At 40.3% G+C, this 25,957-nt stretch overlaps 1 protein-coding gene and 1 long non-coding RNA gene across 4 annotated transcripts in view, besides 2 other annotated features; both read left to right on the top strand.

The window, feature by feature from the left end:
- CDK6 (cyclin dependent kinase 6) overlaps positions 1–25,957 on the top strand; it is a 231,653-nt gene that overhangs the window by 172,411 nt on the left and 33,285 nt on the right. The window lies entirely within an intron of this gene.
- LOC112268009 (uncharacterized) lies at positions 1,493–25,957 on the top strand. Its single transcript, XR_002956577.2, has 2 exons — positions 1,493–21,902; positions 22,036–25,957. It is a non-coding gene; the product is annotated as an uncharacterized LOC112268009 (long non-coding RNA).
- Positions 15,674–15,723: an enhancer, noted in NCBI's record as "active region_26268". NCBI's record gives its function as "activates an Ori minimal core promoter by ATAC-STARR-seq in GM12878 lymphoblastoid cells {active_cell/tissue: GM12878}" and the evidence as "EXISTENCE:reporter gene assay evidence [ECO:0000049][PMID:35858748]".
- Positions 22,023–22,072: an enhancer, noted in NCBI's record as "active region_26267". NCBI's record gives its function as "activates an Ori minimal core promoter by ATAC-STARR-seq in GM12878 lymphoblastoid cells {active_cell/tissue: GM12878}" and the evidence as "EXISTENCE:reporter gene assay evidence [ECO:0000049][PMID:35858748]".

Below are 25,957 nucleotides of genomic sequence, written 5' to 3'. Positions count from 1 at the left end.
TTTTTTTTTATTTTATTTTTTTGAGGCAGAGTCTCGCTCTGTCACCCAGGCTGGAGTGCAGTGGCACGATCTTGGCTCACTGCAAGTTCCGCCTCCCGGGTTCACACCATTCTCCTGCCTCAGCCTCCTGAGTAGCTGGGACTACAGGCGCCTGCCCCCGTGCCCGGCTAATTTTTTGTATTTTTAGTAGAGACGGGGTTTCACCGTGGTCTTGATCTCCTGACCTCCTGATCCGCCCGCCTCGGCCTCCCAAAGTGTTGGGATTACAGGCGTGAGCCACCGTGCCTGGCTGGGAAGATCTCTTTAAAAAGCATTTTTATGAGTGAGGAAATATCCAAGATGGTACCCAGGAAAAGGTCCAATTTTGGTTGAGTAATGCAAACAAGGTAGTTCTAAGTAAGAACAAATTAATACTTTGGTAATGTTATTAATATTGATTTTTTAAATTCTTTTTTTTTTTTGGAGACAGAGTCTCGCTCTGTTGCCCAGGCTGGAGTGCAGTGGTGCAATCTCGGCTCACTGCAACCTCCGCCTCCTGGGTTCAAGCAATTCTCCTGCCTCAGCCTCCTGAGTAGCTGGGACTACAGGCACATGCCGCCACGCCCAGCTAATTTTTTGTATTTTAGTAGATACGGGGTTTCGCTGTTGTTGCCTAGGCTGGTCTCGAAATCCTGAGCTCAGGAGTTCACCTTGGCCTCCCAAAGTACTAAGATTACAGGCATGAGGCACCGTGCCTGGCCTGATTTTTTAAATTCTTGATGTGTACTTTAACATGAATTTGAAAAATATATTTGTTTTCATGACATATATTGAGAAGCCACCACCAGACCTGGCCTTTCCCTGTGGCGGCATCTCTTGGTCCTCCACCTTCCCACTCCAGGGCACCTCCATTCTCATATCCTAGGTCTGCCTGTTCTGTGATCTTTACCACAAACCAGATTTTATCTGCTTAGTCTTCTTCTAACCATTCTATCACATATCATATACCACTCTACCATTCTTTCTTCCCTCTTACTTCCCAAGCCATTGCTTCCCTCTTACTAACAACTGCTGGTTTATTACTTCTTCCCATGTTCCCATCCCTGTTCTTAGCCCCCAATACCTCCCCTCGCTGACTCTCTACTTCTGTTACTCCTTTCAAATCTGACTCTTGGAATCCTTGTCACATAGGAAGAAGTTCCTTTCTTCCCCAAACTTTTACTCACAATCTTCTTCAAGGTAACTAAAACCCGGCCTTTTTCTGTAGGTGCTCTATCCCCTCAAGAAGGGAATTGCAGTGTTTTTAGCTATCTGCTTCTTGGGGGCACAGTTCCGCCAAAGCCTCCCAACTTCTCTTTGCAATCCTCTTACACTCCTGTCTCCCCAGTCCTAATGGCATGACCTGGAGATTTTCAGGACCCATGATTTTCCAGCAAAGAGTCACTACAGAGTAAGAGTAAATGTTACTGACAGAAGTGTTTTGCAAATACGTGGAGACAGAGCAGTTTGAGGGTCTTGATTGACTCAGCAGCTGCATCACTCAGCTTGCACTCTCCCTGTCCCCCAGCCTATACACAAGCATTTAGTGACCCCCGTGAGAATTAATGTTTTCTTCTCCCTTCTCATGACATTGTACATTAGGGACTTCATCATCCAAATGTTCCACCACTGAAAAGAAAGCTCTACTTAGAGACAGAAATAAGAGCAACTAGAGCACACGTGCTTGTTTAACACTTGCATCTAGGCTTTTGGTGGGCATGTTTCCTCCCCTCCAGCTCCCCTCCTTTGGTCTGAGACCCACTTCCATGCTAGGATTCACTTCTCTTCCCATCCCCACGATCCTTAAGCCCCAACCTACTTCCACACCCCCAACCCAACATTCAGCCCCATCTCCAGTTAATTAAGATGAGTGAAGCCCTCGAAGTGAGTTCCTTTTCTCTTTCAGTTCAAAAATTTCTCTTTATCTTCACCTTCTCCTTCCTTCCCTCCAGTTTCTGAGAAGGATGCATTCTCCCTGCTTACAAGGCAAATCTCCCTCAACCCTTGCTCTTGTTCCTACCCTGCTTCTAGGTTCTCACTTCATCCATCATCCCTTTCTGACTTGCCTCGTAAGAGTCAAATCATGCCCTTGTCTCTCCATTCTGGAAAAGATTCTCATTCCCCTTTGTATTCCCCTAGTCTTTCTCCTTCCCTTCATGCCCAGACTTCTTGAAAGAATAGTGTCTCTACATGTAGCCTCCACTTCTTCTTCACTTGCTCATTTCTTCATCCCTTCCCATCATAAAAATAATAGATAACATTTATTGCACACTTACTGTGAGCCACGCTCTGTACAGTTGACCCTTGAACAACATAGGTTTGAACTACACAGGTCCACTTATATACAGATTATTTTCAGTAAAAGTTACAGCAAGTGTGCCTGACTCTCCTATCTCCCTTTCCACCACCTCCAGCTCTTCCAACTCTGCCACCCATGAGACAACAAGACTCACCCCTCTTCTTCCCCTTTACCCTCAGCCTATTCAATGTGAAGATGAGAAAGATGAAAACCCTTATGATGATCCACTTCCTCTTAATGAATAGTAAATATATTTTCTCATTCTCATGATTTTCTTAATAACATTTCCTTTCTCTGCTTACTTTATTATAAGAATACAGGGTATAATACATACAACATACCAAATATGTGTTAATCAGCTGTTTGCTATTGGTAAGGTTTCCAGTCAATACTCGGCCATTAGTAGTTAAGTCTTAGGGGAGTCAAAAGTTATACATGGACTTTTGACTGCACAGGGGGTCAGCACCTTTAACCCCCATGTTGTTCGAGGGTCAGCTATATTTGGTGCTTTAAAATACACAATTTCATTTTAATCTCAGAATAACTTTATAAGGGGCACTGTTGTCATCCCTATTTGACAGGTAAGAAAACTGAGGCCCAAGAAGAGGCTTTGAACCAGGATTATTTGACTTCAGAGTCCTCCTGACACTTAAGCTGCTATATTAGAGGTTGATGGTGACCTCCTCATCATTGCATCCAGGAGCCTCCTCTCCATTCTCATTTCATTTGATGTCTGCAGCATTTGAATCTTGTGGCCACTCACTCCGTGAAAGCCTCCCTGTCCTCACTGTTGGTAAAAAGCACACTTCTGGGTGCCTCTGCCCATATCCCCTTTGCTGGCTCTTCATCTCCCTTCTCCCAAACCTAGGTGTTTACAAAGAATTCTATCTAGATAAGATATAGATGACCCTCAGATGGGCTCCAGGGCCAAACTGCAGTTTCTTAATGGACTGACTCTTCCACCAACCACCTCACAGATACCCTTTCTTCACTGAACCCATCTAACCAGCTTCTCTTACCTTCCCTTTTTCTGTTAATGGAACCCTCATCCCGCAGCCCCCCAGCTGGGTCCTCAGAGTCACCCTGGAATCATCTTCATCCTTCTGTATCCAAGTCCTGTGGATTCTGTCTCCATGGGGCCCCTCCAATCTGGCCCATTTCCATCATGACCTGCATCTCATTAATTGAGGCTGCCTTTAACAGTCACCCAGTAACCTGCCAATCTGTCTCCCTGTTTCCTGCCCATTCATGTATTTATGATAAATTAATATTCTTATTATCACTGTTTTTCAAAATCTTGCTAAGACTGGTGTAGGATCCTTGGCTCTCAAGACCTTTTGAAAGAAGGCTCCAACTCTATTCTGGCCATTGCATATATTATTCTCCAAGATGTCACTATTAGTGAAAGAGACCTACCTTTTGGCCCCAAAACATGCCTCAAAGTTTTTCTCCTTAGAACCCTTGCTCTTCTCTTGTCCTGGGTGCCCAGCTGCCTCTGTCATCTTTCAAAGGTAAATCTAGAAGCTGCTTCTTTAACGAAGAGGCCTGAAGCACTGTACTGTGCTTACAGTAGCCCCATAGCATTGTGTCTGTACCTATGTCAGAGCACTTTCCTGAGCCACTATCTTTCCATGCACACAAGTTGTCCACCATAGGTGCAGCAATGATGTCATGCAGAGCACGGTGTTGTTTCTTAGGAACCAGACATCTAAGAATGGGTTCCAGCCCTACCCCTACCAGCTTTGCCACTGAAGGCAAACCATCAACCTCTGGAACTTAGCGTCTTTACCTATAAAATGGAGAGGCTGAAATACCACATCCATGGAATTCAAACTGTGCTTCAGAGTTCTTAGATTCCCTTCCTATGCATAGTCCAGAGATTTCTCGGCCCTTCTTGTTCCCACACTCAGCTTTAATCAGAGTATCTTGCTTTCATCTTTTTTCTATATTGGGCTTCTGAGATTTAAAAAGACCCTAAAACACTGGAATGGATGATGTCCAAGATTCACTCCAACTCTGATATTCTTTGAGAAAGCCATATCTTGGTCATTTCTGAAACTCTTACTATGTCTAATATGACTAATGTTAATATGGAAGTATAAAATGTGAGTATTGTCTTTCCTGTACTCCCCTCCAAACTCCCAAAGATATCCCCCTGGATATACTTCCACTTCTTCCTTATTATGAATTCAAAAGTGTGTGTGTGTGTGGTGTGTGTGTGTGTGTGTGTGTGTGTGTCATGCCTACTTCTCTACCCTGCTATTCCTTTTTCTGAACATTTGCATTGCCATGTGGAATATCTATAAAAGTATAAACCAGCTCTGTCTGGGAGAAATGTAATGAGAGCCACAAATGTATTTTTGAATTTTCTAGTAGCTGCATTTTAAGAGGTAGAAAGAAACAAGTCGAATTACTTTTAATAATATATTTTTTTTACCACAGTACATCCAAAATGTTATCATTTCAACATGTAATGAATATAAATATATGGATGAATGAGATATTTTTACATTCTTTCTTTTTACTAACTGTTCAAACTCCAATGTGTATTTTACACTTACAGCACATCTCAGTTCAGACTTTTTTCAGCACATTTCAAGTGCTCAGTAGCCACATGTACTGATTGGACAATGCAGGTCTAAGTCATCAAATAAAAGGATAAATTAAAGAAGAAACAGAGACAACTTGCCATTTATTGGGAAGAGGGGAGAAAATAAGTCAGTGCCCTTCTCATTGAAGTCTCATTCTTCTGTGTCCCACATTGTCTTCTTTTCTGGTTGTGTAGGGGCTATAGATGTTGGGGCCCTTGCATGTAAAACCAGCCAAGCTGATATTGATGCAGCTGCCTGGCCTTCTTCTCCTGAATTAATGGTGCTTGAGCTCAAACTTGCAAGTATAAAGTGTTTATCGACACTAGTGGATCATCCTCAATATGTCCTTACTTTAAAAAATGCTTGCACCTGGGGAGCCTCATTGTCTCTGTGATCTTTCACTCCACGTGACACTTTAAGAAACAAAAATTGCTGTACGAAGGATCAAAGTAGGAGATTTCCATGCCTGTTAGTTTTATTTAATTTTAAAAAAATTTAAACGAAAAAGTAAAATAACATAGTCTGGTTGTAAAAACACCTAATGTTAATACAGAAGTATAAAATGTGAACATTGTCTTTCCTGTACTTCTCCAAAACTCCCAAAGATAGTCCCCTCGATATACTTCCAGATCTTCCTTGTTACAAATGAGAGAGAGAGAGAGAGAGAGAGAGAAAGAGAGAGAGTTTATAAATGCTAAAATACATAGGTACACATGTACATATGTAAATTTTTCTCACAGAAATGGGCTTACCCGATACTCTTCTGTACATTGCTTATTCGCTTTATTTTATCATAATATGTCAGTACCTAGAGATTTAACTCATTTTTAAACAGATTAATAACTGTCAGTTCATTTATTTCATAATTTAATTTCTTCTTGATGGACATTTAGGGGTTTTTTGGTCAAAAAATACAAACAATATTTACTGCAAACAGTGTTGCAGTAAAATCTTTGTGCTTATTTTATGGAGCATTCGTCCAGGTATTTCTGTACAGTAAATTCCAGAAGTGAAATTACAGGGTCAAATGACATGCAAATTTTTTAAATTGTGCTAGCTAAACCAAATTACCCTGCAAAAAGTTTCAACTAAACTCTGTTTTTAGCTTGAGGTGGGAGGTAGGATTGAGATTCTCAAAGATGAAGAAAGGTTGTCAAGAGTAAAGCAAGAAAAGAACTCTTATGTAAGCCTTGCTACCTTTTCTACCACTACATTAAAACAATATCAAGTGGAGGTTGGCCATGGTGCCTTACATCTGTAATCCCAGCACTTTGGAAGGCCAAAACAGGAGAATCACTTGAGCTCAGGAGTTCGAGACCAGTCTGGGCAACATGGTGAGACCCTGTCTGTACGAAAAATAAAATTTAAAAAAATCATCTGGGCATAGTGATGTGCTCCTGTACTCCCAGCTACTCAGAGGCTGAAGCAGGAGGATCACTTGAGCCTGGGAGATGGAGACTGCAGTGAGCTATGATTACACGACTGCATTCCAGGCTAGGCAACAGAGTGAGACTGTGTCAAAAATATTAAGTGGAAAACATAAGTGAATATGGTAATTTTATAAAACTTTTGTTAAGTTTGGTTTGATGCATAAGAGACATCTTTCAACTGTAAAATTCACTGTGGGTTTCCTTTTTATCAGTTGGGTAGTGATAGGGAAGGAATCAACCTCATTTTGTCAGTTAAAAAAAAATTATCTCAGATCACATCCCAAGCAGTTTTTCAGACCAGTTTTTTTCCAGTGCACAGGCAGTTCAAAGATTATTCTACAGAATTTCAGAAGTGCCTAGGCTTGAAGAATAATGTATATTGAGTTATGATATTCCTTCCAGGCAGAATTTAGGTGCTTCATGTCATTTTTCCTTCTTAGTCACCAGTGCTCATGCATCATTACTTTGGATGCCTTCTAGGTCTACTCCTTGGAATAACTCTAGAAGCTTTTCCATCAGCTGCTTACAATAGGAAAATAATCAAACTAGTAGTTTCAAGTCTACCTGGTCATAAAGTCTCAGGTCTACCTGGTCACATCTTTCAGCCATTGAGTCAGATGAAAATATTCAGCTTGAGGTCCAGAAGCCACCCACTTTTGATTATAAAACACAGAGACAGTCACTATTTTATACATTGAAAGCCAATTCTTTTTTTTTTTAAGAGAAAAACATACACATTTATTTAATATGTTTTATGTGACATGGGAGCCTTCAGAAATGAAGACCCAAAGAAACAGAGACAACTGTGCATTTTTATGGACAGTCATGCAGAAGTGTGGCCGGAAGACCAAGGGTATGATCTAATGGTAATAAACTGGGGGAAACCTGGCAAGGCCTGCTTGTTCAGGTGCATTCTGTGTCCCCGGGTCTTCAGAGATAAGAATGCTCCTATCCTCCAGGTGTAGGGTGGGCACCTCTGGAATGAAAGTTTTATGGCCAACTCTAAAGGAAAATTGTGTCCTGGATGGAAAGTCAGTTCTTACCAGTCTAATCTTTAGTCAGTGGCAAACTTACCATCTCATTTTTCTCATGAGCAGGAGGTACTTCATAGCCCTACAAAATAAAAAGAACCACACCTGCACAAAATTATTCTAGCTGGGGCTTGGACCTCCAATCTGAGTTGAGTCTGGCCTTGGTAACTCCTTTAAAGTGTGGTGTAACATTTACATTTGTTTTATTGTGTTTATGCAAATTTACTAGACAATAATAAATATAGTAAATAACTTCAGGTAAATGTAGATTGCTGAGATTTTATTGTATGCCTACATAATTTCCCACCAAACACAACCAAGGCGCTAAATTACAACAAATAGTAAGATGTGTCAAAAGATTCTACTAGGTCTTGTACTAAAATGATAGGGGGTAGTGACAAACCAAGTAACTCCATACGGGCCCTTGCTGTGGAGTGGTCTGTGGCTGTCTGATACCCTTGCTCTTTTGTTTTGCGCTGAGCATCTACCTCCCATCTGGTGTTCCTATGGTGGCTGAAGGAGCTGGTGTCTGATAAGACCCAGCACTTGGTTTAACTGAGAAACATTGGGTATATTCTTACAGAAATAAAAGATATTACCTAGCTTCTTTTATCCCCTCCCTTCATCTTCTTTCTCTTCTTCCCTCCCTCCACGCTCCTGTTCTCCTCCTTCTCTTCCTTCTCTTTCCCTCTCTCCCTTTGTCCTTCTCTCCCTCCCACTTTAACCATAGGAAATATAGAGCATTCCGCATGGTCTTTCGCCTTTAACCTTCTCTGGAAATACATGATAGAATTGGGTTTGTGATTTATTGCTCCAGTTTTGCTTGCCAAATTAAATTTACAGGTATTAGAATGTACTCATAGATAGGATTGTTTAAGAGTTGTTGGCTGCTTAGGAGCGTGTGTGTATGTGCAAATGCACATACATGCACTTTTATAACAGGAAAAAGAAAGGTGTGACAGACAGCTGCAGACATATGGATTGTACTTACTTGCTAATTGAAACATTGCAAGGGACAATTCAAGATGGCAGATTTCTAGTGGAGATTAGATTTTACCATGAACTGAACTGGATACTACCAGCTCTTCTCTTATCACTGGCACAGAGTTTGCTGGACATTCCCAGTCTAAAACTTGGGAGGAGATCCAATACTTTGAAAGTTGGGCAACAAGAGCGTGCCAAATGTGTTTGCACTGTGTTGCCCAACCATTTAATTGTAATAATTTGACATGCTAATATTTCAATATTCAGAAGTAATTTGGAAGCCAATTGCTTTATCTGTTTTGCTTATCAGAGTCATATTGAATTCTCTAGGCATCAGCATGCAATAAACTTGTTTTCAAAGGCACTCTGTTAGGTGGCATACAGCCCTGATTAAAAACAGCACTGAACTTAGACATGTTTCATTTTTTTCTCTAACCTAGTACCTTTTTTACAGATTGCATATTAACAGCTTATTTTTGCATTTACCTCTGTAAACCCTCAATCAAAATTTATTTAAAATATTGGGAGCTTTTAGTTTAAAGTGATACCTACTGGCCCCTCAAAACATCCAGCATTAAAAAACTAAGACTGGCAGTGAAATAATTATCAAAATTATAGGAAGAATTTTCATTTAGCCAGAACTGAATTGAAAAATCCATTTGGTGGCCAGGTGCAATGGCTCACACCTATAATCCCAGCACTTTGAGAGACCAAGGTGGACAGATCACTTGAGTCCAGGAGTTTGAGACAAGCCTAGGCAACATAGGGAGACTCTGTCTCTACAAAAAAAAAAAAAAAAATGATCCAGGCATGGTGGCACGTGCCTGTAGTCCCACCTTGGGAGGCTGAGGTAGGAGAATAGCTTGAGCCTGGGAGATTGAGGCTGCAGTGAGCCATGATTGTGCCATTGCAACCCAGCCTGGGTGACAGGCTTTTTTCTGTCTCAGAAAAATATACATATATATATCCATTTGGTGACACAGGTTTGTTATGTGCACCTGGAAATAGGTAGATCTTTATTCCCCTCCCTCAAGTCCCCTTGTTTCAGAAACACAAGGTTGACTTCGGTTCAGAAAATGGCCAGCTCTTCCCACTACCTTTCCTGTTGAGAGCTCCATAGTGCTGTTGTCTTACCTACTCCACAGTATTACATCTTTTGCTCTCTCGGGTAAGACGCTTCAAATACCAGAAAACACATACATGCAAAAAGGAACTAGGGGTCTGGAGGTGAGAAGAATGGGATATTTAGTAAGTGGGGACAGAGACATAAGAGTAATATTAGAAGAAACATGGTAGATATAAACATCTAAGCTACTCAGAGACCATTAAATATTTACAGAATAAGTTCAAAGTAATGTCTACATTGCATTGACTACAAATTGTCTGGTTAGATTGCTCCTCTTAGAAAATGAAAAACAACTATCTAAAAGAAAAAATGATTGTAACTTTTGAAAAAATACTACTAGATAGGGTAAAGTAACACTTCCCAAAAGACTCAAAAAACCAAAGAAAAAAATTCTGAAAGTGATTAGCTAAATCAGAAGAAAATTTCTAAAAGTCAGTAGACTGAGAAGAATGCTAGAAGACATACTCTCTAAAACAGAAAAAAAAAAAGCCACAAGAATTGAACACTCTAAAATGTGAAAACAGCAATCTGAGATGGAGAGACCAATGATAAGTGGAATTGTAAGGAAACTGAGTATATAGCACAGTTAAAATCTGATAGGAAGCAGTAAAACATAGAATTAATACTGTAGGAAATGGAACCATTGACATAAAGGATGATATTGGAAGTTCTCACAAAATACTGAGAAAAAAGGAAAAAAGATTTATAAAATGGTGAGAAACTGACAAACATGAAGGATAAAGAATAGAAATCTGGCCTAAGAAATTGATGATCTTGAGGCCGGGTGCAGTGGCTTACACCTGTGATCCCAGCATTTTGGAGGTCAAGGCAGGGGGATTGCTTAAGCCCAGGAGTTTGAAACCAGCCTGGACAACACGGTGAGACCCTGTCTCTAAATACGAAAAGAGAAAGGAAATTGATGGTCTTAAAATGCAGTAATAAAAGCCATAATTAAAGAAACATGTTCCTAAACTGAGGAAAAACTTGAGTACACAAATTAAAAGATCCTGTAATATTTGGGGGAAAATCATTAAAAAGAGACATTAGTACTTGAGATGCTCAGGGCTGTGAATACAGAAAACTCATTCTGGATCCACTAAAGAATAAAAAACTTGTTGACTCACATAAACGGTGATTCCAGAGATAGGTGAGCATCAGGGTTGGCTTAATCCAGAAGCTGCAGCTCCATTTCTCTAACATTCCCTTTTCTATGTCTTGGCATCTTCAAAGGCTGTTTTCATTCATTGGCAAAGCGGTTACAGTAGTTCCAGGTTTCACATCTGCCCTGCAGGATACTCAGATAAAGAGTACGTTCTTCTGTGTCAGGATTTCAAACAGGAGCCCTGAGATGCATTCTTAGGGCTGCTTGTGATGTGGGCCTGCAGTGGAACCAGTGACTGAGACCGGAACAAAGGAATTTGCTTATCAGATAGATGGTAGATTGAAGAACATCAGTGTTGTGCTACAAGGTGAAAGGGGAGACAATCCATGGAATTCACTCCAAAGATTGACGTGGAGCACATTTGGAAAAATGTTTGAATTGCAGGGAGAAAGAAAAGAACCTACAAGGATAAAATACGTTTCTATTAAAGCTATACACAAAGGAAAGAAAATCAAGCTGGCCTCAGACTTCTCTCTTGTTGAACCAAAGCCAGAGGAGAATAGGGAAAATTCTACAACTTTGTTGGGGGCTAAGTCTATAACCCAAGAACTTTATTTTCAGCTAAGTTGTCTTAATGTGTGAAGGCAACACAAAGTTTAGTGATGCAAGGATTCAGTTTCTATTTGTATATTTGTTAAATACCCATTGGGCATTTACCTGAGCTGAGAAGGATATCAAAATCCATACATCAAGAACAGGATGCCATACTATGAAAGGACTGGTATGAAAGGGTTGCCCTGTAGTGATACTGTCACAGAACCAACATCCAGCTCTTCACAGAAGCTCTGAGAACTATGACTTCAGCAGACCTCACCTGTTTGTACTGGCCGTGTTAATGACCCTATAGGAATGTGGTTGGGTTAGTATATTTTTCACAACAGCGTCTGGATGAGGTTTAAAAGCAAATAATTTCATTATGAATTATTAGTTCTTATTATGAGACTAGCCCTGTAATTGGACCTCAGAAATTCCCCCCTGAAAAGCTTCAGGCAGAGTGTACCATCAGATTTAAAAGTCTAATTAAGTATGACTAAAATTATGTTTCATTTTACCCTACCTTTGACTAGAAAGAAATGGTCTCTAAAGACCTAAAAAATAAATATATGAAAGGCTATTCAAAGTGAAAAACCAAAGATGAAATGGAAAGGGAGATGAATGAGATAAGAAAGAATTATAAAGACGTAAAATGGAGTAGCTAAATTACAGTCCCCTTAAGGCAGACAGCAAATAACAAAATTGACACTTTAGGAGAATTGAGAAAGTGATGCAAAGGCAAATAGGGTTAAACTCTCAGGTGGGTGATGTGTTCCTTCTGATATCATGTCTTGCATTTTTCCCAATTTTCTTAACATGCATTTCTCTACTTGAAGATGATCTATATTAATACAAAAAGTGAAATTAATCAAAATGTTCAGTATTTGTGGAACTGCTTAATAAATAACAATCTATCAATACGTTATGAAATGTTGAAATTCAAAAGTATTTGTGCTGTAGTGTTCCTCCCTATAAGTGAGCGTGTTGACTCTCATTCATGTTATTGGATTACATTTCCAATATTCAGTGTTATAAATATTACTGCATCCCTTACCCATTGTTAAAATATTGATGTGCTTCCAGACCCATTGGTAAAGAGCCCCTCCTTGGAGTGCCCCAGCTCCCTGGATGCCCCTGCCCCTCTCCAAGATCCCAGGGCCTCCCTAAGATTCCACCACTAGAGAGTTAACAGCTGACACCAGTGTTCTTCCATGTCAAAAAAAAAAAAAAAAGTTTTTTAGTATTATTTCAGGTTATAGAAATGCATTCCTGGGAGTAGACATTTGCTGTTATTCCTGTATTCTCTTTAAGCCCCCTGAAGTCACTCTGTTTCTGGCAGTGGTTTCTTCCAGCTACCACTTGCACAAATGCTGGTCTAGAGCAATTCATTATGCTCCTTATAATATCAAAGACCTTCTACTCCTAGTCCCTAACTCACTTCTGATCTTTATCCTGTTTCTTGGACCTTAAAGGCTTCTGGAAATGGGTAAAATTTAGAATTTAATGTCAGTGAAATTCTTCTTTTGGTTTTGTTGTTGTTGTTGTTTGTTGTTTTGGGGCAGATTTAGCATTATCATTCACCCCTGTTAGCCATCTTGGCACAGAAATGTTCACCTGAAGTGGTACCCAGAATGGTCCCCTAATATATCTACACCCTAAACACTATGAATTTGTTACATTACATAGCAGAAGGGATTTTGCGGATGTAATTAAGGTTATGAACCTTACCATAGGGAGATTATTCTGGATTATCTGAGGGGGCCCAACCTAATCACATGAGTCCTTTAAAAACAGAACTAGCCTCGCACCGTGGCTTACGCCTGTAATCCCAACACTTTGGGAGGCCGTGGCAGGAGGATCCCCTGAAGTCAGGAGATCGAGACCAGCCTGGCCAACATGGTAAAACCCCATCTCTACTAAAAATACAAAAATTGGCTGGGTGTGGTGGCGCATGCCTGTAGTCCCAGCTACTCGGGAGGCTGAGGCAGGAGAATCACTTGAACCTGGGAGGCAGAGGTTGCAGTGAGCCGAGATTGCACCATTGCACTCCAGCCTGGCAACAGAGCGAGACTCCGTCTAAAAAAAAAAAAAGAGAGAGAATTTTCTCAGGCTAGAAGCAAAAGAGATGTGAGAGAGAGACTCCAAGTATGAGAAGGATCAAACATGCTTTGCTGGCTCTGAGACGTAGCAGCCACATTAGGAACCAGAGAGAGACCTCTAGGAACAATGGGCAGCCCCCAGCTGTCAACTGGCAAGGAGACAGGGACCTCAGTCTTACAACCACATCAGACTGAATTCAGCCAACAATCACGTATGAGATTGGAAGCAGATTTAGCCCCAGAACTTCCAGAATGGAACACAGCTCTGCCGACACCTTGATGTCAGCTTTGTACAACTCTAACAGAGAACCAGCTGAGCCATGCCATACTTGGACTTTTGACCTACAGAGCTGTGAGATGATACATGAGTGTTGTTTTTTTAAGCCACTAAATTGGTGGTAATTTGTTACAACAGCAATAGAAATTAATATGCCAACATGTAAAATAACAGCAACAACAAAAAAAAACAACAAAAGATCGTGGAATAAACAATAAACATTGCAGAAAACACAGTTCTGAATGCCTGTTGTCGCGCTCTGGCTGAGAATGTCTACACAGTAATGAGCACCAAATCTGAAGGCCAAAAGCACTCAGTAGGAGCTTTATTCTCTGCACTCCACTCACAACATACAAAAAGGATTGGGGTTTTAGGGGGAAACATGAGTGTGTATGTATCTGTGTATCATTTTTGGTAAGAAAAATATTTTAGAGATGAACCATTTTAACAAAGTGGCCTTGTTGTAGTGCTGTAATTAAAAGAGGGTGGGTGTATTGTTTGTAGCTTCTTGTTTGTTTACTTAAAGTCAGTATTGCATATAGTAACAAATTGGTGAGAAGAAAAAACTATACAAAGGGGAGATTGTTTTGGCAATGGTACATGCTGTCCTATTTGTATTTTACTTCTTCTGGTACAATTGTAAAGCTTAGACAAGCTTTTCAAGATGTGTTAGCACAAGGTCTGGTTGTTATTTATGGTTCCTAAGCTCTGAAGGCTACTTACCTAGGCTCAACCCAACTAGAAGGTAAAGTGAATTGCTTTGTGGTATGAATTACACTGGTAATGTGGAAGTTTGCTGACATATGCTGTAATTCCAAAGGTAGTTAAGCACAGGAGTTGATGTTGGAGCCAGACTGTCTGGGTTTAAATCCTAGCTCTTCCACTTACTAGCTGTATAGCCTTGGCCAAGTGACAGAACCACCCGTGCCTCAGTTTCCTTTTCTGTGAACATGGATAATAAAACTACCTCTCTCATGGTTTATTGTGAGAATTTTAGAATATAAAGTGCTCAAAATGGCATTGTAGCACATCAATTGGAAGCAATAAATGTTAGCTATAACTATGATTGTTATCCTTGCCTTAAACATGAAAATATTCATGAAATTGGGGCATTCGGGCTCCTTGGACACAAGAAACAATTAATCCCAAGGATCCCCCCAGGTGAAGATGGCCCAACCACCTGTATGAGAGAAGCAAACCAGGACATCCAGTCACCTGTTAGGCCCTTCTGTCCCCACTTCACTGGTGTTTTTAACTTCAAATTAGTGAGGCTTTATAGATAATGTTGGCATTATAGCAGTCCTTGCCATAAAAATCTTCATTTTTTAACAATTGACAAACGCATTTCTCAATCTGCTGTTTCATGGAATAGTGTTTCATGAGATAATAATGGGCATGCTGTGAAATGATCGGTCAATACTAAAAATTTGGGAAACACGAGCTTAAAGGTTTCTGTGACTCAGGGCTTATCACAGCCCTCATTATTAATGTAAATTTTGAATTTCCAAAGATATATACATATAGTGCATAGCTCCTCAAATATATTTGACCGTGAGACTTTTTTTTTTCAAGATATGCCTCTTAAAATTTCCTGGAAGTGTTCTTCACATCCAGCTTGGGAAACAACTGCCCTAAAATAGGAGCATATTTTACCATTATTATTTAACATTTATGAATTAAGATGATTATGAATTGTAGCTTGTTGTAAAGGAGATTTTTATACTTACATATCCCAAATGTATATGTTTATGTATGTGTATCCATAGTAAAAACTAAAACTAGATAAAGCAGTGAAGAGTCTATTTCTCACTTTGTAGATTAAAAATGGTCCTTGTTAGGTCAAATTAATGATTTTTCCCAGTAGTTCTTCTCTGACACAGATAATGAGATCATCTTATAGATGGTCACTTGGCAAACACTCGGTCATCCAATACGTATTGAACTGGGCATTCTAGGTTTGTCATCCATCACTTTAGTGAGGCCTTTTATAAAATAATTTGTAGTTTCAGCCAGCACCATTTATTGAGATGGTAAGTTCTATAAGGTTAGTATCCTGTATGTGAAGAAATTCCTTTCTATTGACATAAACTTACCTCTCTCAAACATCAGGGATTCATCCCTTCACTTGATATTCAAGACTGGTGAATACAACCAAGTTTACTTTTGTTGATTTTATATACTTCAGCCTTATCCTCTACCCCTTTGGTCTTTGTCTTTCTCAACTAAAAAGTCCCCATTTTTTGGTTTGTCACTTGACTCATGTCAAGACCTGCGAAGGATGTGAGATTTTTCCCCTATTTGCAGGTTAACAAATTAGTCTACCACAGTTTCATGAATGCTGGCAAAAGACACAAGACTCTTGGGTTAGAGACAAAGCCTAGTTTATTACTCACAGCAATAGCAGTAGCTACAGTATCAGCATTTGCACCAGATTCCCAATTCCCATAGGAAAATAAGAAGGGGGGCAGATGACACCTGCAAGCACGCACGAACACACTTACACACACACATACCCACACACACACACGGGTTGTGTTACAAAAACGAATCCCCAACATGAATCTTTTATAATGGTCAGTTAAGTCGGCCTTACCTTTGCCCCAGCAGAAGCTATTATCATGTTTAAGAGCAAACAAACCTGCTCATGCTATAGAGGGAGACACTATCATCTTCCAAAGCAGTTTACTTGAAAATCTAATCCAGCACAAATGCAGTTAGTGTCTCTACTTGCAAGATGTGCAGAAATACAAAGGGCCCATGCAGAATTGTCTCCCAACAGGGAACAGCTGTCCCCTGCGTCCACTACACCACTGTTCCTTCCTCTGAGACCTTTCAAGTTTCATTATACACACATCAAGGTCTGTAGCCAAACCTGCAATATTTAGATGAAAATATATTGGTGCATTTATTTCTTACTATAGAACTTAAACTCCACAGGGCAAGGATCTTTGCTTTGTTTACTTGGATATCCCAGAGGCAGAGAACTATATCCAGCACATAGTCAGCATTCAATAAAGATTCGTTGAATGAGTATATGAATTTCCTGTATTCTTATTTGGATCCATAAGTTTATTGGCTTTGCTGTGCAGAAGCAGCAGTTATATCGGTCCCTTCAAGAAACTGCCTGCAGAGATTCCTGGAGTCATCTGCCTGGAGCATTGCCCACTCACCTCCTCAACTCACCTCCTGGCTGCTCCACGTCATTCTTCCAATCTCATCTTAAATGTTATTTCCTTAAAGAAACCTTTCCTGACCCAGAGTAAAATCAGTACCTTCGGGTATTCACTCTCACAACACCTTGACTTTTTTCCTTCATAGCACTTAGCACAGTTTGCACTTATATTTATTTTAGTGTTTTCTGGCTTAAAACCTGTTTGCCCTATCACTCATGAAACTATAAACCAGACCCTCTCTATTTTACTCACCACTGTATAACTAGTACCTAACAGAGCATGGCATAAAGTGGCTACTAAGTAAATGAATAATGAATAAATGAATGAACATACTGCAGCCTGTAGGTCAGAGCCCATCACTCTGTGAGTAGCTCTGGCATAAAATGGGCCAAATGCATCGTTTGCTCCTTGCCTTTTTCAAAACAGTTTTCCCATGTTTCTCTTCAGTCACTTAGTCTCAAGATTTTTCTTCAGTAGAGTTTAGTCATTTTTTTATTTTATATTCCCAGAAAGCACTTAATTTTAAATTCAGAGGTTTTATGTCATTTTACTAATCAAAACAGTATAAACATATTAAGTCAATACTGGTCCTAGCATTATTCCTTTGGTAGTTCTAATGTTTACACTTAATATATTTAACTCAGTTGCATAATAAGGAAATGAAACTTACAGAAGAATCCCATGGGATTCTTCTCTCAATTAATGAATGAGCAAATATTCTTTGAAAACCTACCAGGTGCTGGCCAGGCGCAGTGGCTCATGCCTGTAATCCTAGCACTTTGGGAGGCCAAGGTGGGCAGATTACCTGAAATTGGGAGTTTAAGACCAGCCTGGCCAACATGGTGAAACGCTATCTCTACTAAAAACACAAAAATTTGCCAGATGTGATGGCAGGCACCTGTAATCCCAGCTACTCGGGAGGCTGAGGCAGGAGAATCGCTTGAACCTGGGAGGGAGAGGTTGCAGTGAGCCGAGATCGCGCCACTGCACTCTGGCCTGGGTGACACAGCAAGACTCCATCTCAAAAAAAAAAAAGAAAAAGAAAAAGAAAAAAGAAAACCTACCAGGTGCTTACAATCATTCTGGGCACTGTGGAAGATAGCAAAAACCTGAAGACTGAGCCTGAAGGAGGTTATAACTTACATGAGCAAATAAAAATGTGCATGATGTGTTAGCATGTAATAATTAGCAAACAGTATCAGACCAGGCATATGTAAGTGCTGAGCCACATGGTACAGATTTTTAAAACTGTTAAGAGCTTAGAAAAGTCAGATATTACCCTGAACTAGAATAATAGGGGCTTCCTGAAGTTAGTCCTGAGCTGGATTTTGAAGATGTTTGATTGGATATTTAACAAGAACTTCATTAGGCAAGCCACAAAAATAGCAGTGCATTCATTCTCAGAAAAGCAAGACCTGGCTGTACTGGAAGGTATAAGTTGGGAAATAGTGTCGTGTATGCACAATCACCGTTGGATTATATGAATCACACAGTCTTTATGACTCCTTTTCCATTCAATTCAATACCATACAGAGATAAAGCCACACCTTTGGACAAATACAGCCGGGGTGTGAGCCGCCAAAAGATGGAGCCTTACTAAGGAGTATCCACGAAGTAAATAAACTCCGAAGGAAAGACTTGGAAGGTCATCCAACATACTCATAAATTCCAGCTATTGCCAAAGATGAAAGGGAAGTGAGAGCCATGAGGAACAATAGGAAGGAGTGCCCCTGCCCCCTCTTAACTGCCTGTTTACAGGAGGGGAGGAGCAGCAGTGCTGCCCAGATGGCAGAGCCAAAGTTAGAATGAAGCTTCTTCCTCACCCTAAGACCTCTTTAGGAAATCCTGTTTGTGACGGTGGCTTCACTGTGAAGTCATCAGGAGCCCCCTCCCCGGGTTGCAGGAGCACACTTCTGGATTGAACCATGGTTTCTAATGCTGCTTGGAAATCTTATTATCATGTGCACTCAGCAAGATAGAAACTGCATATCAGGTGAAGCTTGGGTCAGACTTTATTTTGCAAGCATTTACTTATCTTTCTTGTACGATGGAAATGCTGGCAACACAATAGCTTAAAAACAAGATAAGCCTCATCTTTTTTCCTGTGTGGGTATGTTAGGGAATGATGGTTTTGATGGCCTTTAAAAAGCAGGAAAGGGCAAAGCCCTGTGATGCCATTTCTTTGGCATTTCATTACTTCATTAAGAGAATTATCCTAAAAGCCTGGGAGCTGTAATACGGCTTAAAAACTGATGAGAGCTGAGTGAAAACACCATAGACTCCAAACCAAATTAACCAGAAGGTTCATCCCAAAGAGACCCGCTTTTATATTCGCACCTGGGGTGTGTACTTTTCCTTCTGCCACTCAAGAGCTTTTGCGTGTGGGGGTGAACAATTTGCTTTCCATGCCAAACCCGATGAAATGGGATTTGTCTTCCCTCTCAGACAGGTGGCCAAGCTGTAACAGAGAGGGCTCTGCCTGGCTGCTTGCCTCTTTGGACATGCAGCACTGTCAGTGCAGCGCCAGGCCCCATATCTGACCCTGTGGCCTCACAATCTGGAGGCCCACATTGGCAGCCTGGGGTGGTGACAGCTTCGGTCAGTTGTTGTGGAGTTCCACTGGCAGACAAAGAAGAGTAGGCGAGTGTGCTGATCCAGGTTCCTTCTGTATGATAGAAGAAACCTCTAAGGTCCTGGTAATGTGTGAACCAGTGGAATACCTGCTCCAATAATTAAAGTATGAGCTTTCCTTCCTCTTTTTCAGGGTGGACCAGGCCTTGGGAAAGGAATTTTGGCCTTCCCAGACTGTACACATTACTTAATGTGTCCTTCTACACTTATTACATGCATCAGGAGCAGATTTCACAAGCCTTCTTCCTATGAGACTAGGTTAGTCACTAGGGTTAATTATTCAGTAGTTAAAGGAAATATTGTGATGGAGGGAAAAATAGATTTCCAGAAGCCAGGGAGTAGAGGGCCTCAGAACATCAAATTGCTCCATGAAGAGAGTACACAGCCATTTTTATTTCAGTCTTTGAACATGAGATAGTAATCGTGATTTGAATTCTCTAAACCTCAAAAATATTCCCTTCTTAGCTGTAAATAGCCACTTGTCCCAACCCCATATATCCATGGGGAGCTTCTGTTCTCCCAGAGAAAATGCAGTTAATTATAGCAAAGAAAGGGACCCTAGGTCTCCCCTTCCTGCCTTAAGAGTAATCTCCAGTATCTCTACTCATGAGATAATAAAATGTATCATTTTCAGAAATTTGAAGAAGGTAGGTCAGGACTCACCAGTGCTGTTTCAAAAGCCTTTTGGTTGTGAGTGCCACATCTGACCACTGCACAGATAGCACTGAGAAAGAAAATTGGACCCAGTTCTCTGCTTTTGCCTTCCATTCTCCCTGTAAGGGTCCACGTGAACAGCAAGTTTGGCCTGGTTTCCTTAGGTCCCTCTGGGCCCATTTCTTTTCTTTCATCATCTTTCCTAAAGCTGATATGACAATTCCATGGGGAAGAAACAAATAGTACACTTGGATGAACTTTGCGAAACACAAAGACCTTTCCTCTTATCCCTGATTCTAAAGGGATTTTTCTGTATTTAATAAGTAAATAAATGAGAACAGTTTTAGACTGAATAGTAAGTGTCCCATTTATATCATATTTGTGATGTTTTGAACAGGGTGAAGGAAACCATTCGTGATAAAGCACATGGATTAAAAATCGTGGTTGACTTGTTTAACAGAACCCAAGTCATAAAGCTCCCTTGAAGAGTACTCAAAAATTCTAGCTACAACCAAAGATGAAAAGAAAGTGAATAGACCTCAGCAGGCCTGCCTCCTCTGTTTCATCCTTTAGGTTAAATGTCACCTCCTTAAAGAGGCTTTTTCTATTATTCTCCACCAGCATATCTTATTTTCTTCATAACACTTACCACTTATTTAATGATTTTCTTTCTCCCTAAACTGTAAGCCTCACAAGGGCAGGGACCACGTCAGTCTTATTTCTGTGTTCCCTACACTCAGCATAGTGATAAGCACATCACAGACTCCAAATGTGCTGAATGAGTGAATGAGCTGCTGAAGCGTGCTATAATGGCAAACCTGTTCCAAGTTCTTCATGGACTTACAGACTCCTCTGGATCACCTCTTTCTTTTCTTAGAACCAACTGAAGAATACTACTTGGTCTCAACATCAGGCTTACCAGTGTTATTCCCATTAGTTCATTTGTATTTTTTAAAACCCGGGATTTGGCCGGGCGTGGTGGCTCAAGCCTGTAATCCCAACACTTTGGGAGGCCAAGGCAAGCAGATCACTTGAGTCCAGGAGTTCGAGACCATCCTGGGCAACATGGCCAAACCCTGTCTCTACAAAAAATTAGTCAGGTGTGGTGGTACATGCCTATAGTCCCAGCTACCTTGGAGGCTGAAGTGGGAGGATCACCTGAGCTCAGGAGGTCAAGGCTGCATTGAGCTGTGATCACACAACTGTATTCCAGCTTTGGTGACAGAGGTAGACCCTGTCTCAAAAAAAAAAAAAAAAATTCTTTTTTCAGCCTGAGTCTCAAGTCCACTAGCAGTTCCGTAGTCATAGCCAAACGATGCGATGTAGTGAAGTGGTCATGAGAGCCAGCTTTGGAGCATCTAGTTGTCTCTATCACTTCTTAGCTCAATGATGATGAGTTATCATTAACCATCCCTCAACCTCAGTTTCCTCAATTGTAAAATGAGGATATTAATATATATCCCCCACATAGCATTGATCTGAGGTTAAACAGTATGTATAAAGCACTTCACTTTTGTCTTTTTGCATTGTACATGTTCAGTGAAACTTAGCCACTGAACTTCCTGTTCATAATGTTAAATTACCTTGGTGTATCACTTTTCTAGAACAGGATAAAGGATGGCTTCTTCTCAGAGGTAACAGAAGACATTAGAAGAATTCAGAATCAAAAAAGTCCAAGGACCTGGAGTACTGGGATTCTAGACAGAACCTCAAGCGTGGGGTACACAGCATGAACTGAGGTCACAGTGGGCTGGGCGGCATGGCCAAATGACTCAATAGTGAAGTGATGACTAATCATTGTAGTGCTCCTTATATCTCTCCCCCTATATCCCACCACAGTCACCACAAAGGCCAGAGCTGGTCCTAGAGTCTGGCAAAAGGCTGAGCATGAAAGTGAGTTTAAGGAAACCCATCTAATAAGATTAAAGAAACTATGCAGGGCTCTGGGGTCAAGGCGTGGGGTCAGCTGACTCCTCCACAAGGAGGAGTTGGGGGCTCCTACTTGGTCTTCCCTTGTTTTCCATAGTTCCTCACAGAATCCAGAGGGCAGTCCCCAAGGCTCTCAGAGTCTTACTCTGAGCCACAGGAAGAAGTACCTTACGCCAGCTCACAGGGGAACTCCAAACAGTCAGCAGGAAGAAACTCAGTCACTCAGATGAAAATGATGGTGTCTCACCATTCTTCTATGCAGTTTTCTAAGGGGCAAGACAGAGACATTTGGCTGTGAGACATTAATTAATCGAACAGAATGTACTTTAACTGTTACCTTTCTTATCTAAGGCTGTGTGGCCGGCTCACTGGTTTTAGTCAAGTAAAGAGCAATGACTTATGCATTTAATGATCTCACTAGACATAATTTCCTTTCATATTGGTTTGTAAGACAGGTGCTATCCTCTCCCATCTCAGGTGGAGCTCAGAAGGCCCATTTGTTCTAATATTCCTGAACCATGTAGGATCAGCAATCTGGACTGTTTTTTAAAAATCTTATAAAAATCTGTATAATGTATGCATCTTATGTAAGATTATTTTTTAAATAGTATGTATTATGTTCTTTCATTTAACAAAAATATACATGGTTGTTGTAGAGCTTTTAAAATACGAGTAAAGAGTATAAGTCTATAGTATCTTGTTATACCAGAAAGTAAGAAAATGCTCAAAAAATATGGGAACATACCAGAAAGGCACAGAATTTAGCTTGAAGGAGCCACTGGACAAATATAAAACAATTTGGGCATCAAAATACATAATTATAGTAAAGGATTATAACCTCCTGAATAAAATTAAAATCCATGAGTCCATGCTGATATAAATAAAGTGGGAGAAAAGAGAGCTTTGTCTTACAGTAGACTGACAATCAATAATAACAGAGTGAATGATGGAGTTAGAAAATCATCAATGGATGATGCTAAAACTACTGAGTGGAAATTTCATCAAGAGATTTACGTAGTGTCAAAATGGCTCTTTACAAGATACTTACTTTAAAAATAAAAATAGGAAAAGAAAGAGGAAAGAAAAATAAACCATAAACCAGTGACCAAGAGATGACCATTACTAATGGTTTAATAGTTATCTTTCAACTGTTTTTCCTATGCATTATAACATTTTAATTTTCTTGTAAAATTAGATCATGCTTTTTTGTAATCTGCTTTTCTTATATAAAAATATATCTGGATCTTATTTATTTGTATTTAAATATTCCCTGGTACATAGTAGGCATGTAGTAAATATTGGTTGAGTGAATGAAATTTGCAAGACTTTAAGGAAAGCTGTGATGCACATTGGTGTAAGTAAAGTTTTTTTCATTCTCATGATTATTCCTTTAGGACTAACTCCCGGAAGTGGAATAGTGATACAAAGCATATTCAAAACCCTGAGCCCTTTGATACGTGGAGCCAAATTGCCCTCCAGAAAGATTTTTCTACTTTATTTTCCCTCCAGGGGTGTATTAAATGAATGTCATTCAATACATTTTTAAGGAGGAAGATTGGGATTAAATGTGTGTGAAATACCCAGAGTAGACCCAGAAGTCGTCAGTCAGAAAGTAATAGTCATCCAAATTCTTTTCCCTGTATCTGTAGGTTAGATTCTGTCAGGACCAAAAGCTGGGATTAGTAAGAGTTGTCAAAGCCTTCAGTCATAGAAAATGGAGTTTTTGTTGATACGGGAAGCTCCAAGTTGGGATAGACTCTTATTTTCATTAAGCCAGTCATATACCGTATAATGTGCTATACCATCCTTCTTTTGTATCTATTGAAAAATCCTATCAGCTGCACTGGACCTGAAGTCTACTATGTCAAAGTAAATGATAAAGAGAAAAACCTGGTTCCTGTTTATGATAGGCTAGCATTGAACATCACTGTTATCAACACAGAACCTCCATGAGGGCCCCCTTCCATTTGCACTTTGATGCTGGCTACTTAGCACACTTAACACCAGCTGTTTCCAGTGCCGTTGCCAAAGGTGGGCAGAGCAAGGTGCAGGATACATATACGTTCCATGGGCAGCTGAGCGGCGTGCTCTCTTGTGCTAGCCAGTGCCTGTGGCAACCCTTCCCTCCTGACTTCAGCCTCCCCACTAGTTGCAGCCAGGTGGTGTATTATCTCCTGATCTATATATACATTAAACATATTATTAAGGAGAACCCAGAAGAAGATATTTAGAGAGATAGATACCCTTGGATTCAAAAGATGAGCAATCAGAAAAATTATACCATAATTTGAATTTGCTTATATTTTCCTTTTTGGCTTTCACTGGCTAGCATGTTCTCAAGTGATGACAGTTGGGCTGATTGAGAGCCGTTAGTCAAATCCAGTAACAGTATTAATCTGTGGTTGGAAATGACTGTTAAAGTAAGTGCCAGGCTATTCAGTTGTGGTTTTTATTCCAGCTTCCAATGGTGCCAGGCTTCCAGCAGGAGGAATAGAGGCTGTGGTAAAGGAAACCGTTGGCAAATGAAAGAAACCAGAAACTGTCACTACCCATAACAACGAAACAACAAAAAAATTTACAGAAAAGGAAGGGGAGACAAAGGAAATTGTTTAAAGTGGTTGAAGCCTGTACAGTCTGATGTGATCATTAGGCGTGAGGGTGCCGCAGCATGGTGGTGCCTAAGACACTGACTCCAATTTTCCAGTGAGAACAGGAAGGCTTTAAGCACCAAAGCCATGCTGTCCAGTAATACTGCTGAGCAAGAAAGCTTTTCTTGAAGGAAGAGAATAGCGTTTAATTGAGACTATTTTTGTCAGTCTCCTAACATGCTCCTCAGACCACTAATATGCAAAAGAACCTAAGGATCTGGTCACCAAGTTACGTCAAAAGAGTTTACCCCATAGTCCTTTTTACTGCCTTTTGCAGAACAAACGTTTAATAATGTCGCTATTGTTCATTGGTTATCAAGAAATAACTCATTGTAACTCAGAAGTGCTTAGCAAAGAATCTATCTCATATGTACTTTCTTTATTTCAAGAACTTTAAGGAGGCAGGTTTTCTACGTGTGTTCACCAAAGCGCCAAGATTTTTTTTAATATTTTGAGAAAATATTTTCAGTAAATCTGTATTCATTGAATGAAATATTAAGTGGATCCATAAAGAAGCAGATGATATAAGTCCCAGGATAACATCAGGAGAATCTGAACACAGTGTAGCTGAAGCATTTCATCACCCCCCAACAAGAAAATTGCTATTTTGCCAACTATTCTACCACATTGCAGTGTTTCTAAGATCTACATTTTTTTCACATTTATTTCTAAAAATCAAAATGTGAATTGCAGTCAACTGGTGACATCTTAGATCTGATGAGATATGGTGGTTCTCCTGGAAAAGCAAAAGTTAGTAATTTTCAGCATATCATTGGCATCCAATGTTTAACTCTGGGGGGGTCAAAAGACATCTTCAAGCACTAGTGAAGAAGACATATTTAATTTGAGGACATTTTTATTATAATTTAGTAGGTAAGTGATGTTCCTTCAAGGCATTCAAGGAACCCACTCTGGAATAGACTAAAGAGACTCTGAGTCAGTTAGTGTTGCCCACGAGGGTCACAGCCGGTCAATGGCAGACCTGGACTGAGGTTCCTGCCCAGTCTGGAGGGTCAACACAGGGTGTGTTGTCCTGCTACCTGTCAGAGCAGGCACAAAGCAAGACTCAGTGAGGCAGACCCCGATTTGCTCTGAAGCATCCTTCTATCTGGGCATTGGCAGAACTCCCAAATGAGTGGGTAAAGGTACCAAAAAAGTTCAGCCTCAAATGAGTGGGTCAGTAAGACATGAGACAGTGAAACGTTGTTCAATTGTGGGACATGGGATTGGCTTGGCAGAGTCACTCTGCTCCATGCTCAGCCTGCAGCCTCCTCCCTGGTATCAAGGCCTTCCTACTTCCAGGTTCATCTTTTGAAATACATCATTTATTTTCAAAATATACTGATGTTAATAAAAATAATGCCAAAGATA

Source organism: Homo sapiens, chromosome 7 (genome assembly GCF_000001405.40).
Source record: "Homo sapiens chromosome 7, GRCh38.p14 Primary Assembly".
Lineage (NCBI taxonomy): Eukaryota > Metazoa > Chordata > Mammalia > Primates > Hominidae > Homo > Homo sapiens.
This window is presented reverse-complemented; position numbering and strand designations above follow the sequence as displayed.